The sequence below is a fragment of the Homo sapiens genome, chromosome 5 (assembly GCF_000001405.40).
Source record: "Homo sapiens chromosome 5, GRCh38.p14 Primary Assembly".
Lineage (NCBI taxonomy): Eukaryota > Metazoa > Chordata > Mammalia > Primates > Hominidae > Homo > Homo sapiens.
In genome coordinates, this window is record NC_000005.10 from 126,420,223 (window position 1) to 126,444,024 (window position 23,802).

At 39.0% G+C, this 23,802-nt stretch overlaps 1 protein-coding gene across 18 annotated transcripts in view, besides 1 other annotated feature; it reads left to right on the plus strand.

Moving 5' to 3' along the window:
- GRAMD2B (GRAM domain containing 2B) overlaps window positions 1-23,802 on the plus strand; it is a 134,245-nt gene that overhangs the window by 60,103 nt on the left and 50,340 nt on the right. For 12 of the 18 annotated variants that reach the window (NR_146195.2, NR_146196.2, NR_146197.2 and 9 more), the window contains exon 1: window positions 3,187-3,467. The exons of the other annotated variants lie outside the window; for them this stretch is intronic. Coding sequence is in view for 6 of the 12 variants with exons in the window: in NM_001349541.2 (NP_001336470.1) it covers window positions 3,385-3,467 (83 nt within the window). In the remaining 6 variants the exon portion in view is untranslated. Of the gene's footprint in view, window positions 1-3,186; window positions 3,468-23,802 lie in introns of those variants that run through there. 18 annotated transcript variants of the gene reach the window in all.
- Window positions 3,162-3,291: a silencer, noted in NCBI's record as "silent region_16281". NCBI's record gives its function as "represses an Ori minimal core promoter by ATAC-STARR-seq in GM12878 lymphoblastoid cells {active_cell/tissue: GM12878}" and the evidence as "EXISTENCE:reporter gene assay evidence [ECO:0000049][PMID:35858748]".

Sequence of the window (23,802 nt, forward strand, 5' to 3'; positions counted from 1 at the left end):
TCTCCTCTCACATATCATAGGCATAATCTTACATCTCTATTTTGTCACATGGCAATGACATTTCCTTTATTGTTTATCTGCCGTGCCTCTTGAATACTATATTCCATATATTACTGTAGAATAGCCCCAAGAATAAACAAATTAGGCAGTTGTTTAACAATGCCTTTTAAACGTAAGCAAACATCAGTAGGTAAAATATTGTAGCTTACTTGCTCCTTTCTAATTCTTCCACTCTAGGAAAAGACTGATATTTTCCCTACCAGCCCTGCCTTCCACTTCAACCTCACCTGCTCCTTCTCACTTAAAACCACACCATTGGAAGTCCTTATACCATGCACTAAAGAACTTTAAGCTATTTTAGGGTAACTGAGTGCTCTTTATTTGAGCCATAAGCCCATGCTAAGACTGCTTTGAATACTTGCCCTTACTCATGCATTAAAAGAGGGCTGACCATGATTTCTCAAAAGGGTAAACATAGACTACCATATGACCCAGCAAGTCTACTCCTAGGTATATATCCAAAAGAAATGAAATCAGGGACTCAGACAAACATTTGCACACCCATGTTCATAGCAGCATCATTCACAATAGACAAAAGCTAGAAACAACCCAAGGGTCCATCAACAGATAAACGGGCAACCCAAATGTGGTATATACATGCAATGGAATATCATCCAGCCAAAAAAAAATGAAATTTGGATATATGCTATGACATGGATTGACCTTGAAAACATTACACTGAGTGAAACAAGCCAGACACAAAAGGAAAAATATTGTATGATTCCACTAATGTGAGGTACCTAAAACAGACAAATTTATAGAGACAGAAAGTAAACTAGAGGCTACCAGAGGCTGGGAGGAGGTGAGAAAGAAAGAGTTATTGTTTAATGTATTTAATGGGAGTTTATGCCAAGGATGATAAAAAAAAGTTTTGGGTACAGATAAGTGGTGATAGTTAAATAACATTGTGAAAGTGTTGAATGCCACTGAATTATACACTTATTAAAATGATAAATAGTAATGTTATGTATATTTTACCACAATAAATAAATTACTTAGCGGGGAAAAGTCAGTCTGATCTGAGCTCTGTAATGAGAAGTTGGAGTGCACCTGAGATCTGAGAGTCCTCATCCAGAGTTTGGGAAATTGACAACCTCATCTCTGTTCCAAACCTATCCCTATTCTGAGGAGGGTGGGGATCTAGAGGTGAAGGCATCAGGAATGTCCCCAGGAAGAGGCAACTATGGGCACCAAGGAGACAGCCTTCAAGCTTTCAGGTCACCCAGAGTTTTCCCCATCCCACCTAGCACAGCTCCTATAGCAAAGCAGTCAGTGGTCAGGAAAGAAAAAGAGAGAGAGGCCTGACTAAGCCAACTCTTCTGGAATTTATGTAAGCTTTTTCTTTTACTTATTTTTCAAATGTCACAAACATCAATTTTGGAGCAAGCAGGCTACAAAAAGATGCTTTTGTTCTCTCAGCCTAATGATATATATGTAAAAAGAGAAGGAATAAGAAAACTTTGGAAAGAACTTGCACCTCCAAAATGTTTGAAGTTATTTAGAAGGTTAGGTGTTTTACACACACATACACCCTACAAACTACATACATACATGTACATACTATGGTTGTATAGTCTTTGTAATACTCTTAAATCTAAACTTTATTTTAAGAGAAAAATGAAGGACTTGCAGCCCCAGAACATAGTTAGTCGTTTTTTCCCAGGCATGTCATGCTCTACTGTTGCCACTTGTAATTGTTTTGAAGTCAAGTCAGGCTTCCAATAATAACGTTTATATTAATTATTCTAATTGTCAACTACTCCATTGCAAATTAGAAAACCACCAATACAAATGTCATTTGCTATAACAAGTCAATGTTTATACAAGCTTGCCCAACCTGCAGCCCAGAACAGCTGTGAATATAGCCCAATACAAATTCATAAACTGTCTTATAACATGGTGACATTTATGCACGGATTTTTTTTTTTTTTTTGAGACAGGGTCTCACTCTGTTGCCCAGACTGGAGTGCAGTGGTGCATCTTGGCCCACCACAACCTCCATCTCCCAGGCTCAAGTGATTCTCCTGCCTCAGCCTCCCAAATAGCTGGGATTACAAGCGCCTGCGCCACCTCACCCAGCTAATTTTTGTATTTTTAGTAGAGATGGGGTTTCACTAGGTTGGCCATGCTAGTCTCGAACTCCTGACCTCAAATGATCCACCCGCCTCGGCCTCCCAAACTGCTGGGATTACAGGCGTAAGCCACCGTGCCTGGCCCCTGCACAGACCTTTTTTAAAGCTCATCATCTATCCTTAGTGTTAGTATATTTTATGTGTGGCCCAAGACAGTTCGTCTTCTTCCAATGTGACCCAGGGAAGCCAAAAGATTGGACACCCCTGATTGAGAACAATGCCTGGAACTTTGTAGCTCTCAAAAGTTTGTTCAATGAATGAATGAGTGAATGCTTCCAATACAAAACCTTAGAACAGGCAAGTCAAAATGTCACCAAAAGGTGGGAAGAAGAGGCATTCACGGTACTGGTTGAGTGCATAGTAAATAAGGTACTTGCACAACTATGGGCAACAAAGAGACGGCTTGGGAATTATCAAACACCAATTTTGATTTTGATGAGAACAGTCATAACCCAATATTTGAAGATTTTGATGGTTGCTTCTTCTTTGCCCCTCTAACCACCCCCCCCACCCCAGAACGATGAAGGGTTAACCAAAACACCACCAAAGGCAACTACTTATTACCTTTGTTATTCCCACATAAAAAATTGAGCAGACCTATTGTTTAAGCAGAAGAGGCAGTCCCTCAATGAAGCAATATCCTGTTTGAATAATTTAGGATGGGGCATAGGCCAGCCCACACAGCGCATTTGTGTGACAGGGCGTCCCACTCAGACGTCTCCATTTCCGGTATCTAGAGCCGGCTGCCCTCTAAAAATCCCCCTGTTACAGTCGGGATAGAAAACAAAAAGCTTAATTTACCAGGAGGCTAAACAGATTGTGCCTTCTTAGGCAAATGTTCCACCTGCTTGGCCAATTAGCTTCCTCTCCCGAAAGACTCGTTCAACAGGTTTCCTTTTTCTCTTCTCTGCCTCCTGGGTTGGGGAAAGAGGCTGTCACTTCGCTTCGACCCTCCCCTTCCCTCCCTCTCGGCTTTTCCACAGTGGGTCGGACCAATCGCGCCCGCTCCGACGTGTCCAGGTCCGCGGCCCCGGGAGCTTGGCGCGGCCCGGCCTGGATGCGCTGGGCGGAGGGTGCAGGGGAGGGCACGGCGCCGCTTGCTTGGCCTGCGCACCCGGACCTAGAAGCCGGGACGAGCCGGGGCAGAGCCAGGCGCGCGGAAGTCTGAAGGTGCCCTCCAGACACGGCCCCGATGACTGAACTACAGCAAGATGTGGAAGACACAAAGCCTGCGAAAGTGCTCGGGAAGAGGGAGAGCAAACTTGGCTCAGCCCAGTGAGTATTCTCAGCTGGGACCCATCCAAGGAGGTGGGAGGAGCGCAGCCTAAACTTCTCTGCCCCGGGACGCATTTTGGGTGGATGCGGATTTCTGGAGCTCCTATATGGACAATCTTGTGGCGCGCTCTCTCTGTCTCTCACTCTCTCTCTCTGTCTAGATATTCAGTTAAGGAGATGGTTTAGATTGATTGAAAAGTCTACTGTAGGATTTAAACAAATTCTCTTAATTCAAAACTCACTGGATGTTGGGAAAATAATTTTGTAGAAAATAAGCCTAACCACATTGAAGCTCAAAGTCCCAACACAGCCCTTCGTTTAGAATGACCATTTTCACAAATTCATTTTAGTTCAGCAAATAATTGAGTATCTACTTGTTCAATAACGATGGGCAATACAAGGATAAATGTTATTTTGGATCTGCCCTTCTGGAACTTCAAGAGCAGAGTGGGGATGGGGGAGGCACAAATGAATATTACTGTACTTCAAGGGACTTTGGTGACCATTGCCACATTAAACACACAGACAAGGTATGATAAAGAGTTTAGCCTATAATTGAGTCTTCTCTACTTTTAAAATATTTATCTATTTTGCAGTCTTTGGTAAAATTGGTTTGGGAGGAGAGGTTGTTTTTTTCCTACAAAGTGGTATTTTCTAAGCCTACTGAAGTCACTTCTAATTCAGTCTATGATTTTAGACACTAACCCTTCTGAGCTCTAAAACTCTTGTTCTGGTATCAGGATATGAGTAATTTAGGAAGGAGGGATATGTATTATCATAAGGTTATACTGATGTGATAATTCCACTTTGAAATCATTTTAAGTTGCCAAATTTTTGTGCTTAGAAACCCGGTCTAACTTCTGTTTTGAACTTCATAACTTACATTAATTATCACTAGGCTCAAAGTCTTGTTGAAGTCTGGGTGTCCCCATGGACATTTCTTCTAAGAGGATTAGAATGACTTGCTCCTCACAATTTCCCTGCGTCTGTAACTGCACCCATGTAGACCTCATCACCTAGAGCCTTAGCCTCCTAAATAATAGTAGCTGGCACTTACTGAGAATGCTTACTATGTGACAGGGAGTGTGCTCAATACTTTAAATGCATTCTCACAAAGAATGAGGCAGGTGCTATTATTTCCATGTTGCAGATAAAAGCACTGAAGCTCTGAGAAGCTAAGCAGCTAGGCAGAGTCACAAAGTTAATAAAAGAGCAGCCAGGATTCAAGCCCAGGTCTCCTAACTTTACAGCATGAACTTAGAACCACTATGCTGTACACTGGTTCCTCTGTTCCAGAATCTATGATGGCCTTCCATGGCCTACTCTTAAAAATAGGCTTCTCTGCCAAGATTTTAAGATCCTTCATGATCTGGACCCACACAGACCATTGCAACCTCACTTCCTAATACTAGTCAGCATGCACATCTTTTATAGCCAAACAATCATACTAGCAGCCCTATACTTAAAGGAGTGATATGCAGCACTCCCATGTTCATTGCACATTACTCACAATAGCCAAGATATGAAATCAACCTAAGTGTCCATCAACAGATGAATGGATAAGAAAATGTGCTATATACACAAGATACGAAATCAATCTAAGTGTCTATCAATGGATAAAGGGATAAGAAAATGTGGTATATATACACAATATTATTCAGCCTTTAAAAAGAAAGATCATTTGTGACATGGATGAACCTAGAGGACGTATGTTAGACAAAATAAGCCAGGAATAGAAAAACAAACACTGCATGTTCTCACTTAAGTGTGACATCTGAAAAAGTTGACTCAGGCCAGGCAGGGACTGTGGCTCATGCCCATAATCCCAACACTTTGGGAGGCCGAGGCTGGAGGATCACTTGAGCCCAGGAATTTAAAACCAGCCTGGGCAACAAAGTGAGACCCTGTCTCTACAGACAAAAAAAAATAAGTTAAGCATGATGGCGCACACCTGTGGTCCCAGCTGCTCGGGAGGCTGAGGTGGGAGAATCTCTTGAGCCCAGGCAGTTGAGGCTACAGTGAGCCATGTTCATGCCACTACATTCCAGCCTGGACACAGAGTGAGACCCTGTCTCAAAACTAAAATTTAATTTAATTTAAAAATAAATTTAGAAGTTGGATTCATAGAAATAGAGAGTAGAATGGTGGTTTCCAGGCGCTGGAAGGTAGAAAGGGTGGGGAAGGAGGGAATAGGGAGTTGATCAGAGGGTACGAAGTTTCAGTTAGGAGGAATAAGTTTTGAGTTCTATTGCACAGCAAGGAGATTAGTGAATAATAATATGTTGTATATTTCAATATAACTAAGAGTAAATTTCAAATGTCTCACCATAAAAAATGATAGGTAAGCAAGACCATAGGTATGTTGCTTGATTTAATCATGCCACATTGTATACATATACCAAAACATTACCCTGTACCCCATAAATGTAAACAATTATGATTTGTCAATTAAAAATAATATTAATTTTAAAATAATTTAAAAATATATTTCTTATAAAATTCAAAAAAAGAAGTGATATGCAGAAGGAATAAGGAACTGGTATGCCAAACATAGGAGCAAATGAATCCCCTTCTGTCTTCACTTTTCCTTACTGCTATTCCTTTCCCCTCTCTCCTCTCTCTTCATCTACTTCTAGAAATCAACTCAAGTTTTCCTTCATGTGAAGCCTTCCTTCATTACTGGCCATACTCATCTCTTCTTTACCAGTGCTCACCTTGTACATATGTGGCTTCCGCCTCATAGAATTTATCTGCTGTTATTATGACGATTAATTAACAATTAATGTTTATTGACAGTTTAGTTTGTACAAAGTACTGTTTCAAGTTGTTAACATATATTAATTCACCCACTAATCCAGTTGTATTAGTTATCTTTCCTCTAAATAGGTTGCAGACTCAGATTACATTTTTCCTTATTGAATTTCTCAGAGGACCCAACCAACAGTCACTTTCAAGTACCATCTGTTGGTGAGCTGGGGAAGCTAAGACCCCAGACCCAGTAGTTAAGATATATACTGTAATACGCTTGTAGCTGACATTCAGCTTGACTATGTCAGGGGAAATTCTATGTTTAAAATTTTTCTTAATCACATTTCCTATCAGTAGCGGTTAGAATTTCTAGGTACATTTACTTGCCCGAGAGCTGTGGCTAATTTGTTCATCTTTGTGCTAGAAGGTGAAGCTGCTGATACACTCATCACCGAACTGCATATTTGATTAAAAAATACAATGAATCCCTTTCTGACCAAGAATAAGTACTTTAGCTGTATATTTCCTTTTGAGATCCTAATTTTCTCCACTTTTATTACCTTTTTCATTCTGAATTTTATGTTCCCAGTACTTTAATAGTCGTAGCGTAGCCAGACTTTTTTTGACACACATTTTTGTTTTCCTTCAAGAGGCCAGAATACCCTTGCTCTAACTTTTGTTTGTTTGTTTGTTATTTAAGTTCTGGGGTACCTGTGCACAACGTGCAGGTTTATTACATAGGAATACATGTGCCATGTTGGTTTGCTGCACCCATCAACCCATCATTTACGTTAGGTATTTCTCCTAATGCAATCCCTCCCCCAAACCCCTACCCTTGACACACATTTTATGAAACACACCTTTATTTCTTAAAGTTTCTTCTGGATCTCATTTAGTAATATCCAGGTTACTTTTAATGAATTTCAACAAGTACCCAAATACCCAAAATGATGCTGATATATTCTGAGCAAAAGTTATCTTGATTCATGTTTCAAATAACGAATTAAATTACATGTAATATCATTCAAATTGCAATTTGAATTTTTAACATTTGAACTTTAATAACTTGAGGTGTAAGAATTTTAGAAATATGTCCAACTCCATACGGATGTAGGAAAAGGATAGATGTGGGCAACAAGAACATTTACCTTAAAAGGAAGCGCTCTGGTATTATCAATAAAGGTTGGTTATTTTTAGTATATATTTTTACTTAAAATAGTGAATTCAAGTAAAAATAAATGACCGCAGTGGCAACATCTCTCATCTAAACTATCCATCTTTGTGCATGGCATGTTGGAGTACTTGACAAACAGAACACAGATTGAAGTTGGGAACTGATCCTGAATTAGAAGCAAGAGAAATAAAGGCAAATAATTGTTGGACCTAACTCAGTTTCTTAGTGCTTACTTAATTCCAAACTTTGAAAGCTCCCATTTAGCAAAAGAAGATTATCTCTCTATCTATGTATGTGTGTGCATATAATTTTTTTTTTAATTTCCAGGTCATCAGATCTGACAGGCTGGGTGTGGTAGCTCACTATAATCCAGCATTTTGGGAGGCCGAGGCAGGTGGATCACTTGAGGCCAAGAGTTTGAGACCAGCCTGGCCAACATGGTGAAACCCCGTCTCTACTATAAATACAAAAATTAACCAGGCGTGATGGTTCATGCCTGTAATCCCAACTACTAGGGAGGCTGAGGTGAGAGACCTGGGAGGCAGAGGTTGCAGTGAGCCAAGATCATGGATCATGCCACTGCACTCCAGCCTGGGCAACATAACAAGATCCAGTTCACTTTTCATTATAAACTTTGGGGTAGGAAAGAATGATGTATAACATGTTTTAACATATATTCACCCACTAATCCACTAAATATGGGCCTTCAATATATGAAAACTCATATTTTAAAATGGTATACATATTATATTTATAAATTATATTAAACAAATTATATTAAAGTATGACACCCAATAGAGGAGTTTTTAAAAATGGAGAAAAATAAACAGTGTGTGTTCTAGTTTGAAAGGTTTTGAAAAAAATATATAGTGAACCAAATCAGCTCTATGACTGGAGGTTAATATCTCAGAAAATGCTGATTTATCTGGGCAGTACATGAAGTAGTTAAGAATGCAGGCTCTAGGAAACTAGTATTTGAATTCTGGCTTTCCTGTCTCCTACAGGTGTGACCTGGCAAGTTACTCAGCACCTCTAAGTCTCTGTTTCATCATCTATAATGGGGAGTACTTAAGTCAGCTATTTGATACAGGCTTGCTTTGAAGTTTAAATGGGAAATGTAAGAACAGACACTTTTCAAAAGAAGACATATATACAGCCAACAATCATGAAAAAAAGCTCTACATCACTAATCATTAGCGAAACGCAAATCAAAACCACAATGAAATTCCATCTCACACCAGTCAGGATGGCAATTATTAGAAAGTCAAAAAAATAACAGATGCTGGCAAGGTTGCAGAGAAAAAAGAATGCTTATTCACTGTTGCTGGGGGTGTAAATTAGTTTGACCATCGTGGAAGACAGTGTGGCAATTCCTCAAATACCCAAAGACAGACATACCATTCAACTCAGCAATCCCTTTACTGGGTATATACCCAGAGGAATATAAATTGTTCTTTTATAAAGACACATGCATGTGTATGTTCACTGCAGCACTCTTCACAATAGCAAAGACATGGAATCAACCTAAATGCCCATCAATGGTAGACTGCATAAAGAAAATATGGTATATATACACCATGGAATACTATCCAGCCATAAAAACGAGATCACATCCTTTGCAGGGACATGAATGGAGCTGGAGGCCATTATCTTTAGCAAACAAATGCAGGAACAAAAAACGAAATACCACATGTTCTCACTTATAAGTGGGAGCTAAATGATGAGAACACATGGACACACAGAGGGGAACAACACACACTGGGATCTATTGGAGGGTGGAGGGTGGGAGGAGGGAGAAATCAGGAAAAATAACTAATGGGTACTAGGTTTAATACCTGAGTGACAAAATAATCTGTATAACAAACCCCCATGATACAAGTTTACCTATATGACAAACCTGCATATGTACCCCTGAACTTCAATGTTAAAGAAAAAAGTAAAATAAAAAAGAAATGTACTTCACCTAGTGCCTACATATTATCAGCTCTCTATAAACTGTAGCTGTATTAGACCTCACTTTTTAACATCTGGGACATGCTATGGGGTGGAGGTGGGAGGATGACATGAAATGTAATTAAACTAAATGGTCAAACTTCAAAGAGGTCAAATGCTTACAGTAGCCTGCAACAATGTTCCATAAAGTGACCGTGAGGACTCTTGTGACAGCACCTGAGCATTTCTTTGAATCTAACCAGGTGTGTTGGTTTTTACTTTATGCTAAAAGGATCTCATGCCATGAGTATTTTGTGACCTTCCAGCTAATTTAAATATTGCTTACTGATTTGGTGTTATACATCTGTTGTCCAATACTTCTATCCATCATCCACTGATTCCACATTCTGCTTCCTGGCACTGAGCTTTTTACTCATGGACTCTCAGCTTTAAACTGTTTCCACTTGCTAAACTTCAACAGAACTGTCCTTTAACACCTTTCTAATTTTTTAAATGTTCAGCTTTAGCCACTTTGCACATTTTCAAATGTAATAAAGCAAAGATCCTTGAGAGAGGTTCCTCCTCAGCCACCTTAATGACTGCTTCTTTATCCTTAAAGAGGAGTGTTTTATCCGAAGTTTGATTCGTTACCTTGAGAAGAGAAGCAGAACCAACTTAAACTAAATTTCCTTAAGTAGACTAATTTACATTCCCTAAGATAGACATATGTAGCCGTCATTGGTCACTCCACGTATGTCAAAGATTTCTGTATTTATAATGGACATGATGTCCCAAGATGCATAGTATTTGTAACAACTTTATTGAGTTTTTACCTCATAAAATTTACCCATTTCCAGGTGTAATTCCATGACTCTTAGTAACATTACCAAGTGATGCACCATCACCATAACCCAGTTTAAGAACATTTTCATCCCTCCAGTGATATCCCTCAGGTACATTTATTCTTAATCCTTATTTCAATTCCCAACCCCAGCTCTAGGCAATCACTACCTACTCCCTATCTCTATGAATCTGCCTTTTCTGGGTATTTCGTAGAAATCTTTGTTCCATAGGCTTGATTTAAAGACAATTAGATTAGATCTTTTACTAAGCCTTTTACTCTATAAATATATGTCTTTTCACAAGAAAAAAAGAAAAAGAAAAGAAAGGGCTTTCATGTAGCAAAAGAAACAAGATTGTAAGCATCTTAAAGACAGGTCAGTGCCTTATACTTTGTAACAATAAACATCTGTTGAATGTTGACTAAGTGACATTCATACTTAAGGTTTTGAAAACTTCCCAAACCACAACATCAAAGATAACTCAGGCTGTGATACTTGGGTACTTTTGTTTATGACCTCTTAAAATTTTGCAACTAATATTTATTACTGGTTTTTTTAAGTGACAGAATTGGAACATAATCTTCCCATATGGGTTGATATTTTTTAAAGAAATACATGTATAAAGTCAGAAATTAAAACAATATAGATAGATACAAAATGAAAAACGGAGGCCTTCATCCTGTCTCCCACCTTATAGTTCCTTGTCTCAAAGTTAACACTTCCCAACGTTTTGGTCTTTTTTTCTTACGCTATTGTCATTTTAAGGCCGGAATCAAGTTTTTTATTGATTAGTTTTCTTTTTTTTTAGACTATCCAACTTTAGCCGACTATAAATGTGTTGAACTTGGCGACTTGAAGCATCTCGTGAGATTGTTATGATTAAGTGTGATCACACAGTATCTGCACACCATAGGAGAGCTCAGTAAATGGCAGGCATTACTCTCAAATACTATTTTTTCCAAGCTTCTTTGCAGAATAGTTATCCACCCATAAAATGAATTCATAGTTTTAACAGTAGTAAACAAACCCATTAGAATATGATCTTATGGTGATGACCTTAGCAAGGTAGACCCCCAGTGTTAAACAGAGGAATTGTGACTGAGCCATCCTGCCAATTCATTTTCTTAATCTCTTCTGTTCCTCTCTTCTAGTCTGGATGATCCTAGACAGACCCCCTAATTAGATGAGGTAGTGATATCTGGGCCACCCTCTGAACAATTCAATAGAGGGCACAATGGTGATATGACCTGTTTTAAAAGGGAAGAGACCAAGGTAAGAGAAGTGGAAATGTGAAGTTGGAGAAAGTGAGTAAAGAGATGAGGAGAAAATAGAAGAGAGTTGGGAAAAGAGAGAGGGAAATAATACTGAGTTATATTGAAAGGAGAAAGAAAAAAAATTGGCTAATTTACCATTAACCTGCATAATATTCCTCTTCTGCCCTGGAAGATATTCCTTCTTTTCTCTCTGTATTCTATTCCATGTCTTGTCTCAGGCAATGAGATGAGGTTTTGACATGGCTCTTCTTCCCTAATGGGGATTTTTGTTTTGTTTTGTTTTGTTTTTCAAGACAGGGTCTCATTCTATCACCCAGGAGTGCAGTGGCGTGATCACAGCTCACTGCAGTCTCAACCTTTCTGGGCTCAGGTGGTCCTCCCACCTCAGCCTCCAGAGTAGCTGGGACTACAGGCGTGCACCACCAGGCCTGGCTATTTTTCTTATTTTTTGTTGAGACAGGGTTTCACCATGTTACTCAGACTGGTCTTGAACTCCTGGCTTCAAGAGATTTGCCCACCTCAGCCTCCCAAAGTGCTGGGATTACAGGCGTGAGCCACCATAACCAGCCCTAGTGGAGATGTTGATCTGTGTATACATGTTGGTGTTTTCTTAAAGTCCATATATATCAGGTGTATGATTATACCCATATTTGTTGTCTTTCACATTACGCCCAACTTGTGCAGTAAGTTAAAAACCAGGAAGAACCTCAGAAAAACAGTATGCTAATTTTTGTGTCCTTTATAATAATTAAGAATTATCATCTGAAAGCAGTTGTGTTTCTACAAATGATTCTGAAAGCTTTAGTGTGTATTGCTGTGAAATGTGTATTGTGAGTTGAATTGCTATATATCGATAGTGATGAAAAACTATCAATTCATCATGACAACTTTTATTATCACTACATTGTTTCTATAATTCATTAGAAAATAACACCTCATTAGATCTATTTAATCCTTAAATATTATGCAGGTTACTCTGTGTAATATACAGTGTGGTCCTCAAAGAGCCTACATTTATTGTTAAGAATATATTTCTTTTCCTCCCGCTCTCCCTTCCTCCCTTAATAACAAAGTTCCATAGTATATAAAGTTGGACTTGTTTTGATGTGAAGTTGGTAGATTTCTTAGGTATGTTCTCGATTTGATCAGGATCTTTTCTGAAAATTTTAGAAAGAATGACAGCACCTTTTCTCAAATTCTAAAATCACAAAATATCAGACCTTGCATCAGAATAATAAATGGTATATGAGCTATAAGAGAAAAGCAGTATTTGACAGTTGATGATGAACAGAGGGATTTGATTGAGTACTCAGCTGACATTTACAAGTACTTTTGCACCATGGGTACCATGCTAAGTGTCTTGAATATCACCAGGATGAAACACATAAAGCCTTTGCCATAAGGAGAATGGAATAGAGAGGAAAGGAATGTTTTGTTTTGAGATTCGATCTTCTTTCAAAGAAGAAACTAAGTAGCTCCAGAAAATATATCAAAGCTTAGACAAGATGAAGTAATATCATTGCTATTCATTAGACACTATTCAAAGCGCTTTTACAGATATACATATAATAAGGTAGGTACTATTTCCATCACATTTTATATGTAGGAGGAACACAGTGACTTGCCCAAGTCATAACAGCTGTTAAAGTGTTGAAGCCAAAATAGAAAGGCAGGCAGTCTAAACTGAACCAGCTTCCTAAAATCACTGATTATACAACCTCACTAGATTTACGAAGGGCAAAGATGCAGAAGACAAAGTAACTCCCATTAAAGTCTGTGCATCCCTGCGTAGCTCTCTTAACTTTTGTGTGTGTGTTTTCTAATCATAAAAGGAAGATTTATTTCCATTCTACAATTCTAACATTGAAAGAATTTCTAATGTTCTGTAGAAGACAAGATTAGCTGTCAATTAAGCACTTGTGCTTTCTCTGTATTGTTAAACACAGGTACCTCTTTGGATACTTGCATATTTATCTGTGCTCCAGCTTAGCAGTAGAGAAGTTCATTTTTTCAGTTGAAGCTCTACGTCCTAATTGGCACAGCAGTCATTCATGGATTCCAATTTTTAAAAACCATAGATGGGTTCTTCTTTGCACAAGTACAGAGTGTTTCTATAAAGTGATGTGACTGATGTGTTTTAAAAGCATGTGAATGTTGTGTCTTTAAAAGTAGTCACCAAAGGAACCCAAGAACTTTTCCAACAATGCAGCAATTGCACAAAATCTTTTTGAAATTCTTCTTGTAGTGTTACTTTCAAAGCCTGGAGCCAATTCTTGGAATAGTCATAAGGTTGGCAAATCTTCTTCTTTTGAGAGTGAATTCAGGTTCTGAAAAACAACCTGGAGTTACTTGAAGCCAAATTTGGTGAGTAAGAATAGTTTAAATATCTTTAAACCACTCTGGATTAGATCATTTTTTATCAGAAACAAGATGTGACTATAAAATAATAAGACTGAGTTTCTGGCAATACTTAACAAACTAATTTCTATACATCCAATTCAACATTTATTACTTTGTAACCATATTATGAAAATAGTAAAATTTTATAGTTATTATTCTGTCCTAAATTCATTTGTCAGTGTTTATAATGTACTCAGGTAGGTGTTGGTATGTCATAAGTATTATAAATTACTTTTAAATTAAAAATTATTTTTTTAAATGTCCATGAGCTTAGGCAGTGAAAGTTCAGCTATCACAATCTTCTTATACTAGCTTCTACTCTATTGTACATTATGGTAATTTGTATAGACATCACACTTTTTCAAACCCCCTCCCCATATTCCAAATGGCCTTTCTTTCACTGTCTACAAGACACTATTCTTGACTTTCCCACATGACAATTATCCTTTTTTTTATTTTTATTTTTATTTTTTTTTGAGATGGAGTCTTACTCTGTCACCCAGGCTGGAGTGCAGTGGTGCGATCTTGGCTCACTGCAAGCTCCGCCTCCCGGGTCCACACCATTCACCTGCCTCAGCCTCCCGAGTAGCTGGGACTACAGGTGCCCGCCACCACGCCCGGCTAATTTTTTGTGTTTTTAGTAGAGACGGGGTTTGACCGTGTTAGCCAGGATGGTCTCGATCTCCTGACCTTGTGATCCACCCGCCTCGGCCTCCCAAAGTGCTGGGCTTAGGGGCATGAGCCACCGTGCCCAGCCGATAATTATCAATTTTTAGCATTAAGCTTTCCATTTTTGTCTGGCACCTGAGAGTTAACCTCTGTTAGCTGATTGGTTTACTCCCTGAGAAGTTCCTGAGCATACCTATGGACAAGCATATTCTCCTGTTCTTGACTTTGGGTCAGAATGGACTCATTAGCACAGCAGTGTTACACAACCATTTTATCTAAGATCTGAGTTTGACACTGTACTGTTCAGTAACTTTTATGTGCTATATCTTCGCTCTTCTCTAATCCAAAGTAAGTAATTCAGCAAGCAGTTACCTAATGCTTACTCTGTGCAGGGAATACAAGGCTAAATGAGGTATAAGTGTTGCCCTTTAAGAGCGTCCAGTCTGGGGAGAGGGGAATGGGATGCATACCCACATAACTAATACCATGTGATAAGAATTTCACAGTAATTAAATGCTGTGAGGATAGAGATGTAGCCAATTTGTGTTTTGTGGGGTGAGATTAGAGGCGCTGTTTGAAGCGAGGTTGATGGACAAGGAAGAATGTGTCTTTAACTGGAGGGAGAAAATTATTTCAGGCAGAGGGAAGAACAAGGATAGGATACTTGAAAGTTCAAATGCATGTTTTTGATGGGCACTTAGGGGTCTCCTGTGGCGTGACTGGCTGGGGCTGGCAGGACTCGCAGGGAGAGCAGAAGGGGGAAGGACTCAGAGCCCCCGGTTAGGTGTCCCCTCTTGCTTTGCTCTTTCCTTCTTTTCCGGCTTTGGGCTCTACTACCGACTCTTTGAAACTTTAGGGAAGTCGTTCTCCTCTTTGGTCTTCAGTTTCCTCCTCTGTAAAGAGAGAGGGCTGAATGACCTGATTTATTAGATCCCTTCCAACCTGAAGAGTCTTTGAAGAAACTGCCCTACTTCTCTGCACGCTTCTGTAGTTTTTGTATAAAGAATTCTATTAGACTGAACAAACCAAGGAAAGCCTTTTTAATATGAATAGAGTCCTTGCTTTCTTATGTGGTTTGGCCTCTTTATTTTTTTATTTCCTTTTCTTTCCCTAGGTAAACATATACCTGTTTAAGGCAGGACTGCCGCTGGAACATACCTAAACTATCCTCTTACACGTTTATAGATACATATGAGCATTCACATTGCATCAGACAACCCTGCTTTGCCACAGTGCCTTCTGGACTGGTCATAGCAGAGATGCCTAATGGGGTAACATAATTTAAACCTATAATACAAATGGAGACCAAATTCATTATCACTGGAGTTGCAAGCTTCTCTGATATACTTAATGTCTGAAAATAATCAAAGATTGTACTTAAATAGAGAATACAATTTTAGGTTAAAAAGCCCTTTTCCTCAGAAATGAAATTGGGGAATACCTAAGAGGTACCAGTTTCCCATTTCAACTTAATAATTATACTAGCATTTTAATTTACTTTATATTCATTTAAGTACTTATATTTACATAATAATTGAATTTAATGCACATTTTTTGAGGACCTACTATTTTTAGACATTATACTGTGTTATAGTTATTAGCATGTATTAGGCATGAACTGTGTCCCCTAGAACATTAGGCCCGGTGCGGTGACTCACACCTATAATCCCAGCACTTTGGGAGGCCGAGATGGGAGGATCACTTGAGGCCAGGAGTTGGAGGCCAGCCTGGGCAACATAACAAGACCCTGCCTCTACCACAAATAATATAGAAATTAGACGGGTGCAGTGGTACAAGCCTATAGTTCCAGCTACTTGGAAGGCTGAGGTGGGAGGATCGCTTGAGCCTAGGAGTTCAAAGCTGTTGTGAGCTCTTATCATGCCACTGCACTTCAGCCTGAGGACCCTGTCTCTTAATTTAAAAAATAACAATAATAATTAGGTCAGGTTCACTATAATTTGAGCAATGTCTTACTATGACATTAACTATGAATTTCAATCTACTGTGTTATGTACAGGCATTTTTAAAAGAACAGTGGGGAAGAAACTAGCCCAGCATGGGGATTGAATGAAGGCCTCTTGGAAGAAATGATGATATCTGAGAGAAATTTTGAAGGAGGAATAGGAGTCAGTTGCCTACTCTGCCAAAAAAAGACAGAAATCATTCTAACTGGAAAAAGTAGCCTAAAATAAGACACAGTGATGTGAAACAGCCAGGTGACTATTAAGAATTAATATTACTAGAAGATAAAATGTATAAACTTAAAGGGCAGCACATAAGGCAGAAGCAGTAGGATGGAGGAAGGTCCCAGAGGACATGTTTTTGTGATGAGAAGGAGGTCTGGTTTATCTATAAGGCACAGGGGCCACTGACAGGGTTTACCCAGGGATGTGATATAGCCAGGTTTGAGTTTTTTCGAGATATTGCTAGTGACAGTTGAAGATAGATTTGTTGGAGAACAAAGCAGGAAGCAGGAATTAGCTGGCTGTAAAACAATCCAGGTGAGATTGTTCTGGTAGGGGAGAGGGGAGAATGAGTTTGAGAAATTCTGAGGAAATAAAATTGGAAGGACCAGGTGACGGAATGGATTGACAGAGCGAGAAAGCCAGAATGACTTAGTTTTTCTCTTCAGAAAGGCTGCGTGGATTATGATGCCATTGCATTATGCCATGGAAGGGGATTTGGGGTATTAAAAATGAGTTCCCTTTTTTAATAGTTGTGGGATAGAGTTTAGAGCTAGCAGATAGATTTGGCAATTGTTGGCCTATAGGTAAGAGTTAAAATCATGAGAGTGGGTCCAATTTCCCACTAACAAGAGTAGGAAACTGAGGAGAGAACCTGAGAATGATTCTGTGTTGGGATGAAGATCAAAAAAGGAAGAGGCCACAAAAGGTGATGGGAAATAAACAGAACGGCAGAGAATAAAACAAAACAAAAACAACCAAACAAAATAAAACAGAGGAACAGAATCATGAAAAAACAAACAAGGAAAGGAGAATCCCAAAAGATAGTCACCAGTGGCAAGTACAACCAAGAGCAGCTACTAAATTGCCCTTGGCATTTGGAAATAGAGAAATCACCAGAGAACCTTTCCAAATAAATTTTAGTAGCATGATGAGCATGAGGGCCAGACTCTGCAGGCTGGGTAAGTGGGAAATGAGGAAGCCAGCATAGCCTGTGTAGACTTTACTGCCATTTCACATAATCCCTCACTGTCAGTGCCTGGCTTGCATCACAGCTCAGATTGGTGCATACTGGAATCTTCTTTGTCAATATGGCATCCTCACGTCCCCATGTCTGCCTGTAATCTCCTATCCATCCCTTGCCATTCTCACCACCTGTGCTTTTCAGCCTCAGAGGGAAGCATAAGCTCTTGATGTTTCCATGTTCTCCTAGCCCATCAGCCCCTTCTGGACTTATTTTCTAGGTGGCTCAGGAAGCTACGTAGGCTTTAAGAAGTTTGTCTGAGAAGTGAAGAAAAGAGAGAAAGGTAAATGGAGGAGCGAAGTCAATGAAAAGTTTTGTTTTTTAGGTGAGAGAGAGCCTTGTGAGCCTGTACATAACCTCGGAGAAACAGCCTGCAGAGAGGGAGAATATGAAGGGGCACACCCAATAAGTGACAGAACAAGCCCAGAGGTGTCAGAAATGGGCTTGAACATGAGTAAGAGAGAGACCTTGCCTTCTGAAAGTGGAGGAATGAATAGATGCAGTCTATGCAGATATAAGTAATTAGAGGTCTGGGAAAGAAATGTGGGTGCTCTTGTATAATGACTTCAAGTTTCAGTTTTCTTAGTGAAGTCATGACAAGGCCCCTTTCACCAAGAAAGATGAGTTGTGTTTCATCAGGGGCTTGAGGAACATGGAGAGTGTGAAATACGAGCTGACGAAATAAAACAGGATGTCTAGGCACCGTTGAGGGCCCAGCAAAAGGACTGATCCACAATAAAGACTGGTATTTTTTTCCCTACAATGTGGTCAGAATCTTGGTATTAGAAGTTTAAAAGGCTGATTTGGGGATTTTATCTGAGTGGGCATGGCAGAACGATTAGCATGATTGGAAATTGGGAGTGAACAATCACATATATGGCCTGAGCTGCCTCCAGAAATAAGTCCAGAAGAGGTTGATTGATGAGGAGAATATGGAAACATCAATAGCTGATGCTTTTCTCTGAGGCTGAAACACACAGGTGGTGAGAATGGCAAGGGATGAGAATTGGAAGGATAGGAGATTACAGGCAGATATGGGGATATTAGAGATGACATATTGACAAAACATTCCTGTACACAACCGTCTGAGCCATGATGCAAGCCTGGTATTGACCACGAGGGATTATGTGAAATGTCAGTAAAGGTTGCTGGTGATAAGGCCATTATTACTGGATGCCATTCCACCCACATGGCCATTGAAGATTCCATGTGGCAAAGTCCTCAAGAAAGAAGTATGTCAGAGGTTGAATGCAATAGGAACACTAAAGACAGTGGATCAAAAGTAACCTGCAAGAGGTTGGACTTTCCGTATGTTGAAATATATAGATATTTCATATATGTCTATATGTTGAATATAGATAAAATTGATTGTTTCTTTGTTTTTTGGTTTTGCTTTTTTTTTTTTTTTTTGGAGACAGAGTCACTCTGTTGCCCAGGCTGAAGTGCAGTGGCATGACCTCAGCTCACTGCAACCTCCACCTCCTGGACTCAAGTGATTCTCGTGCATCAGTCACCCAAGTAGCTGGGATTACAGGCACGTGCCACCATGCCCAAAAAATTTTTATATTTTTGTAGAGACAGGGTTTCACCATGTTCACCAGGCTGATCTTGAACTCCTGACCTCAAGTGATCATCCTGCCTCAGCTTCCCAAAGTGCTGGGATTACAGACACCGCACCTGGCCAAAATTGATTGTATTTTTAAAACTCAAGGGAACAAACACAAAAGCAATTAGAAATAGTAGTACTTAGTAAGTTGACTGATTATCAGAAAAATTATAAAAGTCAATGATACGGTTTGGCTGAGTCCCCACTCAAATCTCATCTTGACTGGAGCTCCCATAATCCCCACATGTCATGGGAGGGAGCCAGTGGGAGGTAATTGAATCATGGGAGCAGGTTTTTCCCATGCTGTTCTCATGGTAGTGAATAAGTCTCATGAGAACTGATGGTTTTATAAAGGGTAGTTCCCCTGCACACGCTCTCTTGTCTGCCACCATGTAAGACGTGCCTTTGCTCCTCCTTCACCTTCCACCGTGATTGTGAGGCCTCCGCAGTCATGTGGAACAGTGACTCCATTAAAACTCTTTTTTTTTAATAAATTACCCAGTCTCCGGTGTTTCTTCAAAGCAGTATGAAAATGGACTAATACAGTCAATTACCTTTCTTAATTAACAATAAAAAGTTAATAAAATAAATTGGAGAAAGAGTTACAGACTAGCATCAAAAAATATAAAATACCCAGAAATCGATTTAATAAGACTTCAAGTAAAACAACACACCTACTAAAGGGGAAAACTTGAATAAATGGAGTTTACCTTCCTCAAAAGGAAAACTTATGAAGTATTTCTTAAATGTATAAGGTCACTGCAACTCCAAACAAAATCTCAGTGACTCTCTTGAGAAAACATTTCAGAATGATTCTAAACTTATTCTGAAAGATTGAAGCATTCAGAAATAGCCAAGTCAAATCTGAGTAATAAAAAGATAGACCCATAGCTTATCATGATGAAGCTATCCTAATGAAGGTTCAGAAGGAAATCCAAATATATCTGGAGGTATTTTCAAATCCATGGGGAAAAGATGGAACAACTGGTTAGCCATTTGGGAAAAACTAGAGCTGGAAATCTACTCCATTTCGTAATTAAAATAAGCCCCTGATCAATCAAGTATTTAAACACAGAAAAAAAGAAACCATAAAAGTACTAGAAGAAAACAAAAACTACTATATAATATGGAAGTAGGAAGTCTTACAATGCATGGAATTAAATTCAGAAGTTATAAAGGGAAAGATGGATAAATTTAACCAAAATGAAAAAATTGTGTGACATAATAAAATAAGGCATTACAAAGGACCATCGTTCTGTATTAGATTAATGAACTACACATTAACACAATGGTATATTTTATAGCATTCATGAAAGGTGGCATTTATCTCTAATCATGGGGATAGAATAGTCTCAGGACTATCTTTGACCTTTTTTTAATTGCATAAAACATGTATAAAATGATCCTATTATACAAAATTCTATATTGACATGTCTATTTATTGAAATAGGCCTGGAAAAATGTTCCCTAAAATGTTAAAAATGATGATATTCTCTAAATTCTCTAAATTATGTTTTCTTATTTTTTGTGTCTTTTTTTTCATGGTGTTGGTAATGTTTGAATTTTCTAGAATGAGCGTGTATTATGGCAGAGGAAAAAATATAAAGAACATAATTATATATTTTTTTCTTAAGCTTAAGATCCCCTACTTTGTAGAGGAGATAGATACCTTTTAGACATTAAAATACTGTTAGCTGGGTTTATCTGAAATGTAACAGCATGAAGACAACTTTGTAATGTTGTAATCATTGTCCCTCAAATTAAGTCTCACATCAAACTGTGAAATTAGGTACACAGATGCATGTAGGCTCTGGGCTATGGATTGCTCCAAACTACAGACTGGGTCCTCATTGGCGCTGCAGAGGAAAGCAGGCTGTTTGCAACTGCTTTCAGGATTGACTCAGGGCCCCCGTCCTCTACTTTGTCACCTTCACACTGTTTCAGTGGTTATCTTCCTTGCCTTTTATAGCCTGAAAACTATGCAGGTGCTCAAAGGACAATCAGTAGGCTTCCAGCCTTTCTCCTCTTCTTCCCATATTCCTTCTCTTTATTTAGGCCATTTGATCATGCCATACAAGGGAGAACTATAAATAATAATGCTGGCACACAGCAACATTTCACAATTACCACTGCAATGGCTAGTCCTGGTATAAGTTTTTTTTTGCTAAAACAGATAATATAGTTTTAATTCTAATAAGCAGAGCTCCCCCAATGAGGATTTTTTTAGGAATATAGGAACCAGCTCGTTAGAGGCTCTTGATAAAATATACTTCTGAATTGCAGGCATTTCAATGGTAAACAGGAGACAGAACCTACCTGATAATTGTGACAACCTTAGATGGTCATAGGATTATATCTGCTGAAATCTCTGTTTCCTCGCGTTAAAAATTTTCAAATCAAATCAAAACACTTTTTTTCTGGCTAAAACACATTTTTAAGCCTTGTCTTAGTGTATTTATGCATACCTTTTTATGTAAAAAATCTATGAATGTTACTAAAGTCTCACAATGTCCTAAGAAGGAATTATTATTCCTAATATGCCTATGAAGATACTTCAACAAGAAGGCTAACTATCCCACTGAATACTAGATAAAACAAAAGCAAAAACAGATAGGATTTGAATTCAGCACATTCACCCACTAACTCCTAATCTCATCTTCACGTTCTTCACCTGAATATTTACATCAGTCATAATTTTGAAGCAAACTCATTCAAACCCCTCCCTAAAATGCTTTTTCTTTTCTTTTTTTTCTTTTTTTTTTTTTGTGAGATGGAGTCTCACTCTGCCACCCAGGCTGGAGTGTAATGGTGTGATGTGGGCTCACTGCAACCTCTGCCTCTCAGGTTCAAGCAATTCTCCTGCCTCAGCCTCCCTAGTAGCCTGGGATTACAGGCGCCCACCACCACACCCAGCTAGTTTTTGTATTTTTAGTAGAGATGGGGTTTCACCATGTTGGCCAGGCTAGTCTCAAACTCCCAACCTCAAATGATCCACCCGCCTTGGCCTCCCAAAGTGCTGGGATTACAGGCGTGAGCGACCGCGCCTGGCCTAAAATGCTTTTCCTAATGTGTATTTACATGTATGCATTATAAAACTTCTAGATTTTTCTGTGAGCCCCCTGCTTAAAATCCGTCTGTAAATATTTCCTTGAAATCTGGTCTAGTTTAAGGTACCACGTACAACTGGTGTCTCTAAATTAAATGTGGTCTCTATTACTTCTCTTCTTTAAAGATTTTTTTTAATTAAAATCTATGATTCTACAAAGCTCATTGTAGAAACCTTGACAAACACAGATCATAGCAAAAAATAAAATTAAAAAAAACCAGTAATTTCATTTCCCAAAGAAAACTCAGATGTGGCCCATATTTTGATTTTGGATAATGTATCTAACTAATCATCCAAAATCCGAATTACTAAGTATTTGGAAACTTCTTTCCTGAAGTAGCATTACAGATTGATCATTAATGGGGATTGTTTTTCCCCATTATCTATCAGTAGTACTGATAAATTTACCACTCTCTCCCAGCCCTCCTTAGAAGATTGCTGGATGAAAGTAACAATAGTAATTGACTCGCTTCCCAGTTGGCCCAGTAGTCTTGGCTTGGTTGACACTCAGCTCAGTAGTCCCAAGATTTTGGTGGGTATAAGATTTAAGTTTTTAAAAGGTCTGAAGTAGACCTAAGAAGTGCATTTTTACAAGTCCCATGCCTAAATCGTTCTGACATAGAAAGTTCTTAGGCCACAGTTTGAGAACCTCTAGTTTATGGAATTCACAGACTGATCTTTCAGAAACTGTATGGCTCAGGCGCACCTGAAATGACTTTTAATGGAAGAGAGGAAAATTCTTCAGCCTTATTTATATTCTCACTTCTAGTTTTAGTAAGTGTTGTTTCAGTCTGTGTATTTCTCTGCAGAGCCAGTGTCCTATTAACTAGTTAAAAGAAAACAGGACCCCTGCAGACAAAACCCTGAGGCTTCAGAGTCCTCCCACATCCTCTTTCATGTCTCCCTTCCTTTGTCTCTTCAAAGACATCTTTGCCCAGTCACCTTCTGCTCTCCCCACAGAGATGTTGACATTGAACTTTCCTGGACAATAGTTTTCTGTCTTTTCTCAGTAAAACTGGCTTTCTCTCAGCTGTGATGGAAAGACTCCATCAGTGACTTCATGCATGCATGTTGTTATATGCATAACAGAAAACAATGAGCTGTAAAACATACAGAGGCCAGCTGGGTGCTGTGGGTCATGCCTGTAATCCCAACACTTTGGGAGGCTGAGGCAGGTGGATCGCCTGAGGTCAAGAGTTCGAGACCAGCCTGGCCAACATAGTGAAACGCTGTCTCTACTAAAAAATACCAAAAATTAGCTGGACGTGGTGGTGGGCGCCTGTAATCCCAGCTACTAGGGAGGCTGAGGCAGGAGAATCACTTGAACCCAGGAGGCAGAGGTTGCAGTGAGCCAAGATCACGCCATTGCCCACCAGC